The sequence below is a fragment of the Homo sapiens genome, chromosome 22 (assembly GCF_000001405.40).
Source record: "Homo sapiens chromosome 22, GRCh38.p14 Primary Assembly".
Classification (NCBI taxonomy): domain Eukaryota; kingdom Metazoa; phylum Chordata; class Mammalia; order Primates; family Hominidae; genus Homo; species Homo sapiens.
The window spans coordinates 47,660,370-47,681,023 of NC_000022.11; the positions used below are offsets into that span (position 1 = coordinate 47,660,370).

At 45.1% G+C, this 20,654-nt stretch overlaps 1 long non-coding RNA gene across 1 annotated transcript in view, besides 1 other annotated feature; it reads left to right on the forward strand.

The window, feature by feature from the left end:
- Positions 1–20,654, forward strand: part of EPIC1 (epigenetically induced MYC interacting lncRNA 1) — a 223,927-nt gene that overhangs the window by 28,696 nt on the left and 174,577 nt on the right. The window lies entirely within an intron of this gene.
- Positions 17,811–18,105: an enhancer, noted in NCBI's record as "tiled region #4711; K562 Activating DNase matched - State 5:Enh". NCBI's record gives its function as "activates a minimal TATA promoter and a strong SV40 promoter by Sharpr-MPRA in K562 cells {active_cell/tissue: K562}" and the evidence as "EXISTENCE:reporter gene assay evidence [ECO:0000049][PMID:27701403]".

Sequence of the window (20,654 nt, forward strand, 5' to 3'; positions counted from 1 at the left end):
ATCACCATCTCTTCCTCCCCTTAATCTTCATCTTCACCTTCTTCATCGCCTTCATCTCCTCCTCCTCCTCCTTCATCTTCATCACTTTTATCTCCTCATTGTTATCACCTTCATCACCTTCATCTCCTCCTCTTCTTTCCTCTTCCTCCTTCTTCATCTTCATCACCTTCATTTCCTTCTACTCTTCCTCCTTCATCTTCTTCATCACTTTCATCACTTCTATTATTCATCTTCTTTATCACCTTAATCTCCTTGTCCTCCTTCCTCTTCAACTTCACCACCTTCAACTCCTCCTCCTCTTCCTTCTTCAACTTCATTGCCATCATCTCCTCCTCCTCTTTCTCTTCTTCACCTTCATCACAATCATCTCCCCCTCCTCTTCCTCCTTCTTCATTACCTTCATCTCTTCCTCTTCCTCCTTTTTCATCTTCTTCTTCATCCCCTTCAACTCCTCCTCTTCCTCCTGCTTCCTCACCCTCATCTTCTTTATTGCCTTAATTTTCTGCTTCTTCATATCTTTTCCCTCCTCTCTCTGGCAATACACACTAGAATATTTCAGTAAGATAGCTTTTAGTTCATTTGATTAAACTGGCAAAATAATTATTATGAGGAAGATGCTGAGATCTGGTGGCAGTGGTTGAGAGGTGAGAGGATAACAGAATAATGTTGGCTTGAGATGGCCTGTGACCCCAAAAATGTCGAGTTCTGGGAGACATAGGTCCTCAGGAGATGTCTGTGGTCCTGCAGTACCCAGGCTTCATGTTACCTTAGCCAGAGATCTCTTCTTGACTTCAGCCTCCTCTGGAGCCAAACTTGGTGGCAAGGTCTGATTTGGACTCAAATGCTCTGACCTTCGTTTTTGCTCTCAGTCAGAGCCCCACTTTCCCTCTTGTGCAGCCCCAGCCGCATCCTAAGGGCACTTCCATTCTTGCAAGTTTCTCCACCTGGCCTGACCTGTATCTTTCTGTTAAGAACGGAACAAATCTATCAACTCCCATTCATCAAGGGCAAACTATTTTACAATAAATAGAAGCTAGACTAACAGGCACAGGAAGGGGGTAAGAGTCAAAGGGGGAAAGGGATGCAAGCTTTGAAAATACATACAACTGTCAAGTGGTGATTGAGGAGTCTTGTGTGGCCTTGAGGAACAGAATAACCTCATGTGGAAAGGGATGCTTTGGACTAAAGTCAGTTTCCCTTCCCAGGGGCAGTGGAAGAAGACTGCTCAGAGAGGGACTGGATGGCCATTTTGGTGGAAGCTCAGTGGTTTAGACTTGAATCTTGGATTTAGACCGCGTGACCTTCAGGTCCACATTAAAGCTGAAACTTTATGACTCTGAATTGGAATGGAAGACCGACTTGAACCCAAATGTATGCTCAGAAATTCTGCAAGCAGCTTCATTACTGAATTACTCCATTTCTAATCTCACACTCGTAATGCAAATGGGCTTACTAAAGCTGGTTATCAGGGAAATCTAATTTAATTTCACTGTCTGATGAAGATGATGTCTAGATGGGTACTATATTCTTGACTGGCTTTATTGAACATACTTTAATGTTAAGTGTCTTCGAATATTACATTTTCAGGTACTTGCATGGGCTGCTCTCAGCTAAGAGTTTCAGATCTGAATGTTAACTTTGGAGTCCACTTTTAGGTCACCAAGGGAGCTATGATATCTCAGTAAAGTCACTTTAGCTTTCTCAGATGCAGTTTCCTCACTTGAAAAAAATTAGGCAAGTAAGGCTTGGCTGCCTCACAGGCTTACTTCAAAGTCATATATAACTGAAAACTCCTAAACATAAACAAGGGAGAGATTATTGTTCAATTTTTGTGTCTAAGGAAGCCATGGTCCATAATCTTCACATCAGTGCAAAAACATCACTGCACTATGGTGACAAGTCAATGCTTCTGTGGACAGAGACTTTTGTACAACAGAATTCTTGCCTTGAAGGAATAACAAAAATTTATCTAGGGACTTAAAAGGCTATTTAAAAATATTCTCCATGTAAAGATAAACTTTAAGAATAATATTTGCATAGCTATTAATTTAATTAGTACATGCCTACATCAAAGCCAATGTATCTAACTAGAACCTAAGTTATTTTCCTGCATCTCAGTGTTTCTTCGATTTGAAAGTAGTCACTGTTTCCTAACTGACCAGTTTACAATAACCATGGGAGGCACCTTGGCTCATCCTTCTAATGAGTTTGTTGGTCTGGTCTTTCCTGCTGCCAGCAGCTCCTTCCATAAAGTAGGTGGTCCCTCACTCCAGCTCATAGAGAAAACTTGAAGAGCCCTGGAAAGTTGTTTGCTTCTTTGAAGCGTTTTCCAACAGTATAGAGCTCAGGAATCAGACCCTTGATGCAGATGATACTGTATTTCCCAAGAGGTCCAGCAATCAAAAAGCTCTCTGTCAAGGTAATTTGCTTCCCATTGATTTTGCCCATAGATCAGCTCATTTACTGACTCTGCGTTTAGGTCTCCCCATGCAAGACAGCATCTGAGCCCTCCAGCCTCAGCATAACTGAAGCCTTGCAGAGCTTAACAAAAGTTATTTGAAGACACAGCAAAGGTAAAGAAGCTAGGCTGGACGCAGTGGCTCACGCCTGTAATCCCAGCACTTTGGGAAGCTGAAGCGGGTGGATCATCTGAGGTCAGGAGTTCAAGACCAGCGTGGCCAACGTGGTGAAACCCCATCTCTACTAAAAATACAAAAATTAGCTGGGCGTGGTCGCAGGTGCCTATAACCCCAACTACTCAGGAGGCTGAGGCAGGAGAATCGCTTGAACCCAGGAGGCAGAGGTTGACATGAGCCAAGATCGTACCATCGCACTCCAGCCTCATGACAGAGCAAGACTCCATTTGCAAAAAAAAAAAAAATGGTAAAGAAGCTGCAACACCTCTTAGGCCTTCAGGCTCACACTTCTGACACCTCTGATCCCGATGACGAAGGTCAGCCTGGCTTCTGCAGGCACCCACAAGGTTTTCCTTGTTGTCCCAGCCATCCAGACCCCAGCTCTGTGCCTCCTTCTGTGTTCTTTGTGGTAGTCACAGTGTTCTCATAGATAAGCTTCCTCCTTACCTTTTGAAGCACTTTTTGGGCAAACTTCTTTCTCCGGCAGTTGATGTTCAGGTCTGTGAAATTCCTTCACTGTCTCTTAAGGGTTTCTATCACAGCAGAGGTCTTCTTTCTTTCCTCTTTGAGACTCTGCATGGCTCCAGCCTGAAAAGAGCCTCTTCCATCTCAATTTTAGAAGAACAAAATGGAAGTGAAGAGGAACACCTGTCCTGCTGGGCTCCACTCAGGTGTGTTCCACGACAGAGAATCCCAAGTTAAACCAGGTCCTAGGTTGTGCTTGCAGAATGAGGGCTGGAGAGAAGGGGAAGTCCTGGTGGGCTCTCAGGGTCAGAACAGGGAGGTCGTGTGCTGGGAGGTGAAGCTCGGCTTTTGCTTAGGGCACTGGGGAGCCAAGGAGGATGTCTCTCTGGGCACCAGCATGCCCAGTATGCTGGAGGCTTTCTAATTTGTATACATCCGATTTGCCTGAAGTGGCCTCCAAGCCTTGCTTCCAAAGCTCCCTGCATGCCTCTGTCTTATCACGTAAATACACATTGCAATTCTGTTTACTTGTCACCTCTTCCACTAGGCGGTGAGTTCCCAGGACAGGGTTCTAATGGGTCCACCTTCCTTCTTCTCCAACCAAGCAGTTGTTTGGCGTTACATGGCCATTTCCCAGACATTACATCATTTGCTTTTACACAATCATCTTACAGTTATAGGTGAGGAGAGTGAGGCTTTGTATGGGGGAATGATTTACCGAAGGTCAAATAGCTAATAAATGACAGAGGAAACTTTAGATTTCCTGATTTAAGTTCCATACGCTTTTGATCGCCTCGTAGTTACCTATGTGGTAGAAATTATCACTCTGTAACAGAGTTTCTTGACCTTGGCAACAGTGACACGTGGGGCCAGATAAATCTTTGTTGTAGGCGGCTTCCTGGGCTGTGCAAGATGTTGAGTAGCATTCCTGACCTCCAGCACCTGGTGACCTCTACCCTCTACCCCCAAGTTGTGACAACCCAAAGTGTCTCCAGACACTGCCAGTGTCCCTGAGCGTGAAAGTCACTGCTCTAGAATAACAATTTTGTAAACTGGTTATGGCTATAAAAAATATACTTATTAGAAGGTATGCATTTTGAATGTTTGAATAGAATACAGGAAAAAGTATTTCTTTTTACCCTATTCTGCTCCAAAAGGCTATGACTCACACCTGTTGCTTGTTTGTATTCACAGAGATGTCCACTCACTATACTTCATTCTGTCTCTCTCTTTTTTTATTTTTTATTTTTATTTTTATTTTTTGAGACAGAGTTTCACTCTTCTTGCCCAGGCTGGAGTGCAATGGTGTGATCTCGGCTAACCGCAACCTCTGCCTCCCGGGTTCCGATTCTCCTGCCTCAGCCTCCCAAGTAGTTGGGATTACAGGCATGCGCTACCCCACTTGGCTAATTTTGTATTTTTAGTAGAGATGGGGTTTCTCCATGTGGATCAGGCTGGTCTCGAATTCCTGACCTCAGGTGATCCGCCCTCCTCGGCCTCCCAAAGTGCTGGGATTACAGGTGTGAGCCATCGTGCTCGGCTACACCTCTTTCTTATAAAACCTACACTCTTCTGCATCTTCTTCTTTTTTTAACAAATGATTTGTCTAGGAGATTTTTTCCCTGTCATTATATACATAAAGGAACAAAATTATAGCAAAAAAGTATTCATTAACTTCTGTGTTACGAAGAGTTTTACCTATCAAAAATGGAATTAACTATACTTAAATGACTTTTCAACATCTTTGGAATTAATCATATGATTTCTCGTTTTTCATCAATTAGTATGGTGAGTCATGTTATTTGATTCTCCAGTTATTAAAGCATCATTGAATTCCTGGAAAAAACTCTGCTTTGCCCTATTGTGGGGTTCTTTTATTTTGTTTTGGAGCCTGTTTTCTGATATTTACGGTGCTTCCAACATATTTACATGGCTATTGTATTCATAGGTGAGATTAGTATCTTTCTTGTGTTTTCTTTGTACTGTTTTGGTTTTATTATAATTCCACCTTTATAAAAGTGATCTGGAAGATTTCTTCCTTTTCTGTGTTTTCTGAAACCGTCAAAGCAATGTCATAAAAATGTGACGTTACAGAGTTTAGAGAATCCATCTTTGAAACTGTCTGGACCTGGTCCTTTTATGGGTTTGCTCTTCGACTTTATATGTTTAATTCTATATTTTTACTTACATCATCAGCTTAAATATTATCTTTTGAGCCCAACAACAATAATATGGAAACACCAGAATATGCTTTTCCCACTTTCCACCCTAAACAACTCCTTTCAGTGGGCTTCTCTCTCTTACCCTATCTCTTTTATTGGTTATATTACTTCTATATTGACATGATTTATCGTGTTTGCCTCCTATTATAGAGCCATAATTCCCGCACTTACTTTGGTCTTAAGACTGCAATGGAGCACATTCCATTTTTACGTCCATTCTTTTGTTGCGGTTTCTCTCCCTACCCACCAAAATTATATTCCTTGATCTTTGAATGTACAAAAATAGCTGTCTTCTGCTCTGATATCTGAATGTTTTCAGTTGAGAAAAAACATTTTTTGAAGATTTTTTAGGAACGGTTTTTTGAATAATTTTTGGGAGAAGGCTGAGGCTAGCTAGAATGTTTATTTTCCTTTACGAGTGTCTTGGTATGTTTTCCTACATGCTCAAAGGATTCGTTTGTGATTATTAAACTCCAGTAATTTTACTAGTCTAGTCTATATCTTGGTGTTGATTGTTATAGATGGTCCTTTTTCCTTGGAATACAGTGAGGCCTTTTGTCTTTAGATTAGAGTTTTATTTTATTTCAGAAAAATTTTCTTGAATCAGGTCTGTGTACTATTTCTCTCCTTTCTTTAGGAACACAATTATGCTCTGGCCTGGTCCTTTTTTGTTTTTATTATCTATTATTTCCTCCCTAATCATCTTAAATTCTTGGCTTAGTGCAGTTTCACTTCATGTTGCTTTCTCGGCCATATCCACTGTGTGCCTCAAACCTATTCCCGGGAGTGTCTGTTTGTTTTTGTGCTGCGTCCAAATTGGCATTCATTTTGGTGATGGAAACATTTTCCCCCTCAACTACCTCTCTGAGTTCTACGAGCCACAGTTTCATTCACCTTTTCGTGCTCCTCCATGGGTTTCCTGAGCAACCTGAGCTCTGACTTAGCTCTTTATTCATCACGTTCTCTGAATTCATGGTCATTGGTCAGGTAATGATTCTCAGGCCCTCGGCAACACTTCTGTGACAGCATTTCATCTTCCATTTGCTTCCCTTATTCCCTCCTTTTTTCTTCTTCTTCTGCTCTGTCTACACCCTGCTCAATTCCCGTTGTGAAAAACGAATCATCTTTTTATGAGGTGAGTCCTGTTGAAGGGTGACCCACTGCTCCTGATCATCTCAGATTTTCCTGGTGTTAGCAGAGGAAATCCTGTAACTTGGGAAGCCTCTCATTTCTGGGCAAGCAGGAAGATTTGTCACCTGGGACTTTACAAGCTGCTCTTGGCCAGAGATTCTTTAGGAGGATCCAGGTGTGAGGCTGTTTGATTACGTGTGACTTGGGTACAAGGGAGATGAAGACGGGGTGACTTAGGGACCTACACACAGGCGTCCGAGCCCCGTTTCTCATCTGTTTGTTTCTTCTCTTCCTTCTCATAACTTGATGAACTTTATCTCTTTTTTGGTAGGAAAACAAGTTTTTATAGAATCAGTCTTCCTTCCTAAATTAACAGCATCCATATGTTTTAAATTTTTTTTGTACTTAAAATATGCTAGTTCTTACAACTCCAAAAGACATTTTTCTTAAGGTTTTGATATTTACTATGGTTTTAAATTTTAAAAAAAATTTAAGCTATAAAAACCCCTAATTCTCTCTTAGTGAATTGGCTGCCTCTGATTGAACACAGGGAAAGATCCATCTGAAGGGAAATGAAACAATTGGAAATCCTGGTTAATATCGTGGAATTCTGTCCCTCTAAATTTCCTTCCTGTTCTAGTATTTTAAAACCAAAGTGGAGGTAACTTTACTCTTCTGCTTTTCCTTTTTTCTGTTTTTTTTTTTTTTTTTTTTTTTTTTTGAGATGAAGTCTTGCTCTGTTTCCCAGGCTGGAGTGCGATGGTGTGATCTCGGCTCACTGCAACCTCTGCTTCCCAGGTTCAAGTGATTCTCCTGTCTCAGCCTCCTGAGTATCTGGGATTACAGGCACCCACCACCATGCCTGGCTAATTTTTTTTTTTTTAATTTTTGGTAGAGATAGGGTTTCACCATTTTGGCCAGGCTGGTCTCAAACTCCTGACCTCAGGTGATCTGCATGCCTCAGCCTCCTAAAGTGCTGGGATTACAGGCATGAGCCACCTCGCCTGGTCTCTTCTGCTTTTCTTATGGAAGGAGGGGTCAGAGAGGCAAAAGGCGGCTAAATGAGAGTACAACTGGAAACAACACTTTTGTTCCTGGAGTTGAGGTGGTGGGGATGATGGATGACAGCCATAGGATGGTAGCAAAGTTAGGGCAGAGTCAGTGGCCTTTAGATGGTGGGAATGATGATGGTAAACCTGATGTTGAGGGTGCTGAGGGTGAGAAGAGTTGAATCGTAACATGCACCCCAGCTTTGTGCTTTATCCTCAATGAAAACTCTGCTTAAATGTGCAATGTGTTTCTGAGACTGTCAACAACTCCCTAATTGAAAGTCTCCACTGGCAGCCTGAGAAAGTTCAACAACTCAAGAAAAGCCATTGTTATGGCTTGAATATGGTTTGGCCCCACCAAAACTCATGTTTGGTGGCCCCAGTGTGGTGATGTTGGGAGATGGTGCCTTTAAGAGGAAATTAGGTCATTAAGAGGAATGAATGCTTTTCTCAAGGGAGTGAGTTCTTGCTCTTGCAGAACTGGATTAGTTACCATGATTAGTTACCATGTTATAAACCGAAGCTGCCTTTTGCATTTCTGTCATGCGATGCTGTCTGCCATGTCATGACACAGGACGAGGCACTTACCAGATGCAGCTGCCTGATCTTGAACTTTCAGCCTTTAGAGCCATGAGCCCAATAAACCTCTTTTCTTTGTAGATTACCCAGTCTCAGGTGTTCTGTTGTAGCAACAGCAAATGGACCTTTAAGACAGCCACCACTAATAAAACTCCAGTGACTGCCCAGGAGAGGATGAAGGGGAAAGCAGCCCTCTCCAAAGATTCCAAGCCATAAGCAGACCTCCCATTCATCACAGGACGTCAAGGGCTCTGTGATATCTTGGGCTGCCCTAATGTTGTTTCAATATAGAAAGGGATTAACCTGCAGCGGGAATCCTACTTTACACTGCTTGTGAACAGGCGGCCATAAACTATCCTTTATAAATTGGTATGCAAGGAATTAAATATGATTGCCTGTTGAGTTTGGGCCCATAGCTAATGAAACCATAAAATATGTCATTGATTAGAGGAATGTTTTCAAAAGGTTAATTAGTTTGTTTTTCTTTTGTAATCAACTATGGAGACCATAAAGTTCAGGAGAAAACACCAATCATCCACATGATTTCCTAAGACTCTTGATCAGGAATACTCCCCCTCAGATATCCCAAAATATACACCCAGGTGTTCTCTCTGCCATCTCCAGGGTGGACCGCCATGATAGGTGATGAACTAGAGGCCTAATATTTATGCATCCTAGTATGTGTGAGGTTTTGTGAGGAATGATAATAGAGGCCATGCAATGCATGGCTTCTTGCCCTCAGGGAATTCTTTAGAATGTTTAGGGTCAATAGTGCCACAATGTGAAAAATAAACAACACCTGTTCCAGGTGGTTGGAGGGAGGCTGAGAATAATTCAGCCAGTGGTGGTCTAGGAATTCACGATAACAAAACCCAAGGCCACTCCTGTACCATTGATCAAATAAATGTTAATTTCATGGCAGAAATATGTCAAAGCTTTTTGAAGTAACAGAGGTTTCTGTGCAACAACCTTTGAAACTTGTTGTTGTTAGTTCTGTGGTGAGTCTTATTTTCCAGATGATGACACTTTAGCATAGAAAGGTTCATTACTTCACTGGAGTCATCCAGTTCTTAAATGGTACAACTGGCACCCAAATCTGGTCAGGCATGCCCCAAGGCATGTACCCACGGTGTGCAAGATGCAGTGTTCCAAGCCATGCTTGAAGAGGGAACAGTGTCTAAATAAACTGTATCTGCAGAAAGCAGCCCTGGAGGAGCTGGTCTGGGAGGGTAGCTGATCTCCTTAGGACCTATATTAGTCTGTTCTCATGCTGCTAATAAAGACGTACCTGAAACTGGGTAATTTATAAAGAAAAGAGGTTTAAGGGACTCACAGTTCCACATGGCTAGGGAGGCCTCACAACCATGGTGGAAGGCAGAGGAGGAGCAAAGGCATGTCTTACATGGTGGCAGGCAAGGAATGTGTGCGGGGGAACTCCCACTTATAAAACCATCAGATCTCCTGAGACTTATTCACTACCATGAGAACAGTGTGGGGGAAACCAGCCCCATGATTCAATTATCTCCACCTGGGACCACCCTTGACTCATAGGGATTATTACAATTCAAGGTGAGATTTGGGTGGGGACACAGCCAACCCATATCAGGATGTGCCCCAGTCCTGTGTGCTCTGAGGTCCTCAGGTGTGGGTGGGCAGTAGGTTCGTTATGCTGGCAATGCAGGTTAGGGACAACTAATGATATGATGTGGACTCTCATAGGTCAGATCCTTCTTCCCAGAGACAGCAGAAGCCATTGAAGTTTTTATGTTGCCTTTCTTGGTCCCAAGGGTGAAGGAACATAGGAGGGCCCAGACAGTGGCAAAACAAGCAGTGTCTCTGAGGAGAGAAGGTCAGGAATATCAAGGCATGAGCTGATCAAACCCTGGGCTCGGACTTCAAATCCTTTGTGGAACAGAGTGTTCACATAAAGACAAAAACAAGCCAGGCACGGTGGCTCATGCCTGCAATCCCAGCACTTTGGGAGGCCGAGGTGGGTGGATCACCTGAGGTCTGGAGTTTGAGACCAGCCTGGCCAACATGGTGAATCCCTATCCCTACTAAAAATACAAAAAATTAGCCGGGTGTGGTGACAGGCTTCTGTAGTCCCAGCTACTCGGGAGGCTGAGGCAGGAGAATCGCTCGAACCTGGGAGGCAGAAGTTGCGGTGAGCCAAGATTACGCCATTGCACTCCAGCCTCGGCAACAAGAGCAAAACTTCATCTCAAAAAAAAAGAAGACAAAAACAAATACAAACAAATGTGGCAGCAGTCATAGGAAAGAGAAACACAGAGATAAGGATAAAAGAAAAGCCAGCAACATGGCTGATGGCTGGTTAGACATGGAGAATGTAGGAGTAGTGGGCTTTGACCTTGGTGGCCTGAAAGAGTGCAGGTTACAACAAACTCCTGTTCTCAGTGAGGGTGTCATTTGTCTACGGCAGACTTTATAGGAAGGAAACAGAATGCTGGAAGGCAGAAAAACTCAAGGTAAAAATCACAATGATTCTGATGATTCTGATTCTGATGATAGTGGTGGTGATGGTTGTGTTGATGGTGTTGGATAATGGTGGTGTACGCTAAATAAATTTCAAAGCATGGCCAGGCATGGTGGCTCATGCCTGTAATCCCAGCACTTTGGGAGTTTGAAGCCAGCAGATCACCTGAGGTTGGAAGTTCGAGACCAGCATGAGCAACATGGGGAAACCCCATCTCTACTAAAAATACAAAATTAGTAGGGCGTGGTGGCACATGCCTGTAATCCCAGCTACTCGGGAGGCTGAGGCAGGAGAATCGCTTGAACCCGGGAGGCAGAAGTTGCGGTGAGCTGAGATGGCGCCATTGCACTCCAGTCTGGGCAACAAGAGCGAAACTCTGTCTCCAAAAAAAAAATTCAAAGCATGGTTCCAACCAACAGTCAGGAGAATCTTATAATCTAGGAAGCAGGCAAAGTCATCAAGTCAATCACAATGGCGAGTACAAATGGACCAGAGACGTCCAGCTGCACCAGGAGTTGGACATTGGCCCTGTCTCCTGCCGCACCCTTTGTATATATGAAGGGAATACATGAAGAGCTGCAGGCATCATTGATTAGGGTTATGACAGGGGAAGGGAGCTTATGGTCCTTGGGTCATTAGAGTAGCAGCCTAGGCATCTCCGCACCCAAGAACAACACTCTGGCCTATTTCCACAGGTTCTGAAAGTACAATATGCCTCTTATAGCAATAGTCCAAATATTATGTTCTGAGACCCCTTCCACTGTCCAGCAAGGCACCAGGACTTTTCCAAGGATACACAGCCGGCACGTGCAAGGACTCCACAGATGCTACTGTCTAAATACATAATGGCCTCTGGATCCCACTGGCTTCTGGGTGTTGGAGACTCACAGGTTAGTGCTGGGGGTGGGTTATCCACAGAGACCCCAAGGGACAGCCCACGGCACCCGCCACCTGCTTAAATCCTTTGCTCTGTGTCATCCTCAGACCACCCAGTCTCAGCTATGACCTGATGCAATGTCCTGCTCTTTTTAAACGCTGGACACTTTTATATTACACATCTTTTTTTTTTTTTTTTTGAGACAGAGTCTCACTCTGTCACCCAGGCTGGAGTGCAGTGGCATGATGTTGGCTCACTGCAGCCTCCACCTCCAGGGTTCACAGGGTTCAAGAGATTCTCGTGCCTCAGCCTCCCAAGTAGCTGGGATTACAGGCACGTGCCACCAAGCCCAGCTAATTTTTGTATTTTTAGTAGAGACATGGTTTTACCATGTTGGCCAGGCTGGTCTTGAAATCCTGCCCTCAGGTGATGCGCCCACCTTGGGCTCCCAAAGTGCCGGGATTACAGGCATGAGCCTCACACCCTACATATCTTACAATTACCTGGGGTTTAAAGTATTGGGGGGTCTCATGATGCCGACACAGCAGCTTCATCCCTGTCTGCAGATCTCACCTCTGTCCACCACTAGAGTTAGGGGCTCTGGCAGGTGGTGTTGGGTGCCCCGCGTGAAGCAGTTCCTGCTGCCTGGCCAGTTGAGTCCAAGTCTGTAATGGAGCCTGATGGAGAAGATGCTTTCTCATTGTGGAGGATCTGTTTCGTCTTCTGGCCCCTCTTTGTTCCTGTCCTTGGAGTTGCATGGGGTCATTTACACACGGAGGCCACTTCTAGGCATGGACAGCAGAAGCGGCTTCATGGCTACACTGCTGCTTGCCAGACAGGCCTGTGCCCGGCATGGCTAGCATGTCCCCACCGTGGTTGGCACACCAGGCCCTGGGAATGACACCGAGGATGCCTGGGCTCCCAGCCACTGGGTGACATCCCACAGTGTCACAGTGGTGTGCCTCTGGGGACCTGGTGTGCCTTCCAAGCCAGCCATAACAGTCGTGCTGGCTGAGGGCTTGCTTTCTCTGCACACAGCTCAGGAGCATTCAGGCTTGAGAGCGTCTGACCAGGCAGGAAGGTTTGCACTTACGTGTCATCACAGAGCTGAAGTTGAGGCAGTGACGGGCTCCAAGGGTGTGCCCGGTGCACCAGCCCCTCCATGATGGTGTGGGCCTGCACGGTGCAGGGTCATTCTAAGTAGCCACGGTCAGAAGGTATCAACTGGCTGCAGCCGTGGTGACCGTCTTAGATTGTTTGTAACACATATGATGATATGATTAGTAATTTCAAGCCCCCCTCAAATTCTAAAAGGGATGACCTCTTCAAGAAACCACGCTAGGGTGTGATCCTCTAGCCAATACACGGAGGGCCATGTCCCCCTTTGTTGGACGTTCCATTTTTCACGGATGATTGCTGCCTTCTGGCTTGGGGCTGGATGCCCTTGGATGTACCCACCTTATTTAGACATCACTGGCATCCCCATCGTTAGTTTGGCCGAAGATTCTTAATTTATAACCCATCTTAAATGTCGTTATTGTTTTGGGGGGAATGGAGAGGAGTGTTGGGGGTTGTATCTGTCAGGGTCCAGTAAGAAAAAACAGAAACAACTTGAAGTTTTTTGAGAAGAGTGCTTAATTCTGGAAATCAGCTGTTTTTCAAACCATCTCCAGGACTGGGTGCTAAAGTCCAGGAGGAGGAACTGCGGACTTCTGGCAGTTCACGGAGTGCAGGCATTGCAGTGAAGCTGGCACCTGTGACTGTGGCTCCCCTTAGCACCTAGCAGGGGATTCACAGAAGCTTGTCCTGAATCTGTGCAGATTCCAGGCTTCTCCTCTAGCCACATGTCTGCCTCCACCAGAGGAAAATCATGGTGTTCCTTTCTGCTTTCAGAATCTCACATGAGCATCGACTTGGCCGAATTCCAAAAGCCTGCTAGCAAGAGGGTCTGGGCAGTGTGGTTTTCAGCTTCCAGCCTCTGCCTTGGATGTGAGCAGAGCTTGGAAGGGTGGGGAGGGGTTGAGCATCTGCAAAAAGTATCTGGTATCCACAGAAAAGAATGAGACCATGTCCTTTGCAGGGACATGAATGAAGCTGGAAGCCATCATTCTCAGCAAACTAACACAGGAACAGAAAACCAAACACCGCATGTTCTCGTTCACACGTGGGAGTTGAACAATGAAAACACATGGACACAGGGAGGGGAGCAACACGCACCAGGGCCTGTTGGGGGTTGCAGGGCAAGGGGAGGGAGAGCATTAGGACAAATACCTAATGCATGCAGGGCTTAAAACCTCGATGACGGGTTGGTAGGTGCAGCAAACCACCGTGGCACATGTGTACCTATGTAACAAGCCTGAACCTTCTGCACATGTATCCCGGAACTTGAAGTAAAATAAATTAAATTTAAAAAAACAAAAAGGATCCAGCACCATGGGGAACTCTTGACTTCTGCATGATTGAGGAAGACCTTGGTACCAGGTGGTTGTCACCAGGTTTTCTAAGATGTTCCAAGGATTGAATCTGGAGTTTGTTCTGTGAATGCTCAGAAGGTGAAGGTACAAATGCATGAGGCTCCTCAGTGGATCTTCATCTTAGTCTGTTTGGGCTGCCGCAACAAAGTACCCTAGAAACGCATTTCCCCCAGTTCTGGAGACAAGAAGTCCGAGGTCAAGGCAACCACAAGTGCAGTGTCTGGTGAGGCCTCCTGGTTCAGACAGGGCCTTCCCACTGTGCCTTCATGTGGTGGGAGGGGGAAGGGTCTCTCTCTCTCTCTCAGGCCTCTTTTATGAAGGCATTGATATCATTTATGAGGGCTCCACTCTCACACCCTCATAATCTCCCAAAGGTCACTTCCTAATACCATCACACTGGGGATTGGGATTTTAACATACGAATTTGGCGGGGCTGGCCAGGGGTGGGGCGGACCTAAAGGTTTATGCCATAGCAGTGTCATGACACCCTTTCCCACTTGAGAAAAATCAAGCCTGACGTCGAAGACTGTAACTAATGATGATGTATGGGGCCACCGTCACTGTCGTCGTGATCATCTTCACCTCTGTTCATCTGGTAGCTGTGGAAGATGCAGTAATGGATGCACAGACCTTTTTGCCAGGCCGTCCACTCACCCGCCACGCTACTGGGATTAGGAAGTTTGCAAACAGCCTATGTGTGTTCCCCTTTGCTGACAAATCGCCCTCAGTTTGCAGAAGCTGCCTCCCAGGATGCACACTTTGAGGACAGGGTTCTGGAGTTGGTCTCCCTCTCTGGCTGTCTGGCCACGCAGGTCCCACTGCTGGGGGAGGTGGGGAATCCTTCATCCCTAGTGCTTGGGAGCTATCAGTTGTGACAACTTCCACCTGTGCGAACAGAGGTTGGAAGCAGGTTTATACTGGCTCGTGTCATACCTCTGCCATTTTCCCAGAATAGAGAAATAGAAAGTGAAAGAACTGTGTTCAGAAGAGAGAAAATGACAGACTTAAGTTGATCAATGACCAATTAAGGCAACACGGGAGTCAGGGGCCCTCTCTAAAGAACCCCTCGCTTCTGCGGTAGAAGCAGCTGGAGATCAGGCCCTCGACGTGGTTGTGGAAAGGGAGGACCTGAGAGAAGACAAGAGTATCAAACCTCAAGAGTCTCCTACCCCTGGGGTCGGGGCCCTGATAGGGAAGGCATGGGATGCCAGGAGCCTGGAGGGGATGTCCGGGCAGATGCTGCAAAGCGTCTTGCTCCCCTGAACGCTGGGTTGCAGAAGTGCTTCACTCCCCTTCCCGGAAGACAGAGGAGGGCCCCATTGGTTGGATATCGTGCAGAAGCCTCATGCGTGGGCTTACCACATGAAATAAAGGGTGCCCAGTTAAATCTGGATTTCAGATAAGCATCGCACACTCATTTAGGATGAAGTATGTTCCATCGTCAAACGGTAATAGGGCTGGCTGGTAATAACAGCTCCGTTCCAGCAGGATTGTTTCTCTGCCCTTTGGTTCTTCCTTCACAGGCTGCTCTCATGGTTGTTCTAGAAGCTTCGTTTAAGCTAAGTGATCCTTATTAAGAAAATAAAAATGTAATAGTTCATTGTGCCAAGTAGCACGCATTCAATTACTCTTGAAGCTACTGTTTTACACGTTTTCTTTGGTATTTTTTCCTTTTCCTTTGATGAATAACCAGCTAATCCTCCTTGCCCATTTTTCAATTTGGGCTATTATTTTATTTTCTTGTAGTTTTTTTAAAGAGAAGTTGATGTATGAAAGACATTGTCACATATTGTGATGAAATTTTTTGTTTTTGTTTTTTCTCTGAATTCTGTTAGTGTTAATTTTCTAGCAAAATTTACTTATTTATTTTTTTACCTTTATGCAGTTTAAGATATAACCTTTTCCTACAAATATATTTGCTGTTCTTTCTATTTTGCTCTTAAAGACTTTGCTTCCTTTGAGATGAGGTTGATAGTGTCCTATGCTTTGTTCTATTTTAAGTTTCATGATTTTATTTTATTTTATTTTTGCTATCAGAATTTTAACCTTCTAGTAATTTTGGTGTGCGCTATGAGTAAGGCTTGGCTTTTGTTTCTATCGAAATGTTTAAGCATCAAATTTTCCTTGCTGTTTATCAAATAAACCATCTCCCTCCCTTGAAATTCTACATTTACTTAGATCTGGTTCTGGGAGATTTATTCCTATCTGTATGCATCCTTGTCCCACCCACCACTACATTGCCACAATTGTTTTGAATAATAATACAACCTCTTATTTGACATGGAAATCTCTTTTCCATTATTCTCTATCCCCACCCCTACTTTTTTTTTTTTTTCAGTGTCTATTGGCTGTTCTTGGCAATTTATTTTTCCAGGTAAATTTGAGTATCCTTTTGTCAGGTTGTAGAAATAGTCTGATAAGGTTTTGATTGAGATTGTATGAAGTTGGGAAGAGTGTGTCTGGGTTGGGCCTGCAAGCTTTGCCGCGTCTGTGGAGCATCACCAGCCTTCTGTGCTTGGTGTGGCTGCTGGAGGCAGCTGGGGCAGTGCATGCCCCCTCTTCTCCCTTCTGAGACTAGCTAGGGTTCCCCTCACAGCAGGCCCCTCCATGTCAGTGTGAGTAGGTGCAAGAGTGGCCTGGAGAGCCCTGGACCCCCAAGCCTCCAGACCTTCTGTGGCTCCATTCTCAGGGCAGAAGCTACCCTGTGGGCCCCTCCTGCCATGGCCTGCTCGTGTCTCCTGGATTTAGGGCATGAGCAAGCAGGTGACCTGGGGCTCATCTTCTTCTTTCACAAACATGGTAGGTGTTCTACGTGCTTTATGTGTATTTTATTTTATTTATTTTTTTATTATTTTTTTTTTGAGATGGAGTTTCACACTGGTCGCCCAGGCTGGAGTGCAGTGGCGTGATCTCAGCTCACCACAACCTCCGTCTCCTGCGTTCAAGTGATTCTCCTGCCTCAGCCTCCAGACTAGCTGGGATTTCAGGTGTGCACCACCATGCCTGGCTAATTTTTGTATTTTTAGTAGAGACAGGGTTTCACCATGTTGGCCAAGATGTTCTTAATCCCCTGACCTTGTGATCTGCCTGCCTCAGTCTCCCAAAGTACTGGGATTACAGGCAAGAGCCACCGCGCCTGGCCTATTTATTTATTTATTTATTTAAGATGGAGTCTCGCTCTGTCACCCAGGCTGAAATGCAGTGGCGCAGTCTCAGCTCACTGTAACCTCCTCCTCCCAGGTTCAAGCAATTCCCCTGCCTCAGCCTCCCAAGTAGCTGGAATTACAGGCATGCACCACCACACTCGGCTGGTTTTTATATTTTTAGTGGAGATGAGGTTTCACCATGTTGGCCAGGCTGGTCTCAAACTCCTGACCTCAGGTGATCCACCCGCCTTGGCCTCCCAAAGTGCCAGGATTACAGGCATGAGCCACTGAGCCCGACCTTTATCCGTATTTTTAGAGGTTAATCCCAGCAGCACTCCTGGTAGAGAGCTAATAACCCATGATAACTGATGAGAAAACCGGGGAGGAGAAGTTCAAGTACGTCCGAGGTCACCTGGCTGGAGGCTGGCTGACCCAGAACCTAGACCTGGCCTGTCTCTGAGGCTGTCTCTCACTTGCTGTATTACACATTTGCACGGAGTGCTGGGCCATCAGGAGTTAGTCAGATTCCATGGACAGCTCTGCCTATAGCTTTGTGTGGTTACCTGCCAGAGCCAGGATGGCCGGGCTCCCCACAGTTGGCTGCTTTTCTTGGATTGAATGTACTGATCTCCCTCTTGTTCTGAGTCTCAGTTGACATCCAGGCAGTGTCTCCACCCAGCCGAATTGTCTCATCAGCAAATGAACACCCTGGTAGGGTTTGCATCCGGCAACCTCTGAGCAGGCCTCACTCTCCCTATGGGTTGGTCCCTCACTGTGTCGTACCTGTGTATTCACCCAAGATTCAGTGAGAACTTGGGCCCAGTACTCTGCGTTCCTGACCTTCAAGGGCCTTCTGTTACTTCAGATAACGGGAAGCTGCCGTTTCTGTGAAAACTCCTTATCACTTAAGAGAGCATTTTTCTGTTTTCCTAGAAGAGTCTTCAAAACCCAGTTTCCATCTCCCACTCACTTCTCTTTCTCTAAGAGACTTTGACACACAGGAGCTTTGAAGAAGAAAGCTGCCTGTTTCTCAGGGATGGAATTTCTTAATCTGAGCTCCATGTACATCTTCTGTGAGATATTCTTACACATTTTTTATCACTGCAGTGATGTTAAGTATTCAGTCTAGTGAACCCTCTGATTTTTATTAACTTTTCTTCTTTTTATTTTGAAGTAGGTGTCAGATTGGGCATGGAGTAGGAGGGGGGTGCTTTTCCTGGGACAAGATGAAGTTAACTTTGGGCAGACTCCTGCATTGATAAGCTCACAGCTAAAAAATTGGCTCCCAATCCCCTGCCGTCTCCAATCATTGCAATGCAAATTCGATAGAAAAGAGCTGCAGGGGTCCCTGGCAGCTGAAAATCAGTCTGCATTGAAATGGGAATAGATGCCACCACCTAGGTATTGGAAAGCCAAGTTCCCAGGCTGAGGAAAAGGGAAAATTCCCTTCTCTGTCAAAACTGTCAAATTACCCAACCGAGGGGAGATGCCAACCTCTTAGCTCGTCTCTCTTCAATCATCTGTAGGGGCAGGCGGCCAGTTGTTTTTGACCCAGCACCCCTATCCACTGCTCACAGATGCCCAGCCAGCTCCGGCCACCTCCCCTCCTTTCAGGGAAGGAGAAGGTGGAAAGGTCAAGTTCTGCTTGAACAGCCCTGAAACTTCCCTGTTTTCTGGCCCTCCCAGCCAACACTGGTGGAGAGGAGGCTTCCCCTGCTGCTGGAGCTCACCCCATGAATAAATAATGAGCAGGTGGATGATTCCATCCTGTTAGCTTCAGCTTCTGCAGCTTCCTGACAAACAGAACTCTGATTGTGATGGCAGAGTTTTTGTTTCGTTTTTGAATTTCACGTCATTAATATTTTTTCTTTCTAAACTTACTGTCATTGAGAGTCTTGATGTTCAAAGATTTCTCTGTGAATCAATTTATAGCATACATAATACAATCAGAGGCGGAGAGCTGGGAGAAGCATCTGGAATCAGCCAGTCTGCTCCCACAGTTAATAGATCAGGAAACTGAGGCCCAGAGAGAAGACATAGTCTGCCCAAGGTCACTCACGGACTCAGAGGCTAAGTTGCAGCTTTTTAGAACTGTCAAGCATGTCTTCTGATCTATCATAATCCATCTATCCATCCAACCATCCATCCATCCATCCACACATCCATCCATCCATCCATCCATCCATCCATCCATCATCCATCCATCCATCCATCATCCATCCATCCATCCATCCATCCATCCATCCATCCATCCATCCATCCATCCACACACCCATCCATCCACCCATCCATCCATCCACACACCCATCCATCCATCCATCCATCCATCCATCCATCCATCCATCCATCCATCCACACACCCATCCATCCATCCATTCATCCATCAATCACACCCATCTATCTACCATTCATCCATTTATCAATCCACACATCCATTCATCCATTCAACATTCAACATTCAACATCCATCCATCTGTTCATCCATCCAACAACTGAGAGAGGTGTGCTGTCCCTGTGATTGCATATGGGTAGAAATGAAAGGCATGAAACTATATATATATATACATATATATATGTGTATATATATACACATATATATATGTGTATATATATATGTATACCTTCCATTGGGGTTTCAGGGACTCCAGGAGAGAGGATGAGTGAAAGTCACCTAATTGGAAGCCATTGTTGGCTGGGGGTGGGGGTGAGCCAGGCTTCGCATATGCTATAGGCACTGTAAACCTCAAGTAAACAAAAGGGTCAGAATCTAGTTTAAAGAGAGTTCATTCAATTGCAGAGCTGAGGATGAGCCACCCGGGAAACACAGATTCCAAAGAATGGAAGTCAGTGTTCCGAAGTGCAGAAGTTTGGGATTGCATACATAAACAAAGTTCAGGGAAGACTAACAGAATTTCAATATCTTTCTATATAAGGTTAAATGTATAGTTACAACAATCTGATTAGTTGAGGTGGTCTTTTTCTTTCAGAAAAGGTATATTTAGCATTCTACACTGAAGATGTAATGGTTATGGGGTCTTGAGCACCATCTGGGCTGAGTTGAGTACAGGGCAATAAAGGAGGCAGTGAATCCATAGCAAAGTCTTGGATTGGAAGGGGGAGGCCTGGTACAAGAGCAATGAGGAAGATAATTCATCTCTCCTCATTTATAATCTAAGAAGCAGAATTGCAAACATGCTACATAACACAGTCTCTAGGGCTTAACCTCTCCCTTGGCATAATACATTTAGAGGGTCCTGACATTTTATTTTCCACACCTTTTCGAGGTGGGGATGCAGTTAAGGATGAGTGTCATTGGGTAGAACAGTCAGAGGATAAAGCTGGACTGAGAAAGCTTAAAGAGGAGGGGCTATGGAGCCATACCTCTGAGGAGGGGCAGGCTTTCCAGCAGGGCTGGAGCTCAGAGCCATCAAAACATCCCTCTGAACAGTTAAAAATAGGACTCTCCTCTAAATATGGAATGAACACTCCTCAAAGATTAACTTACCTCACGAACAGGGAGCTGGCAGGAGGGTGAACCCCATTCAAAGGAGAATTTGAGGAACAGGTGCTTACACCATAAG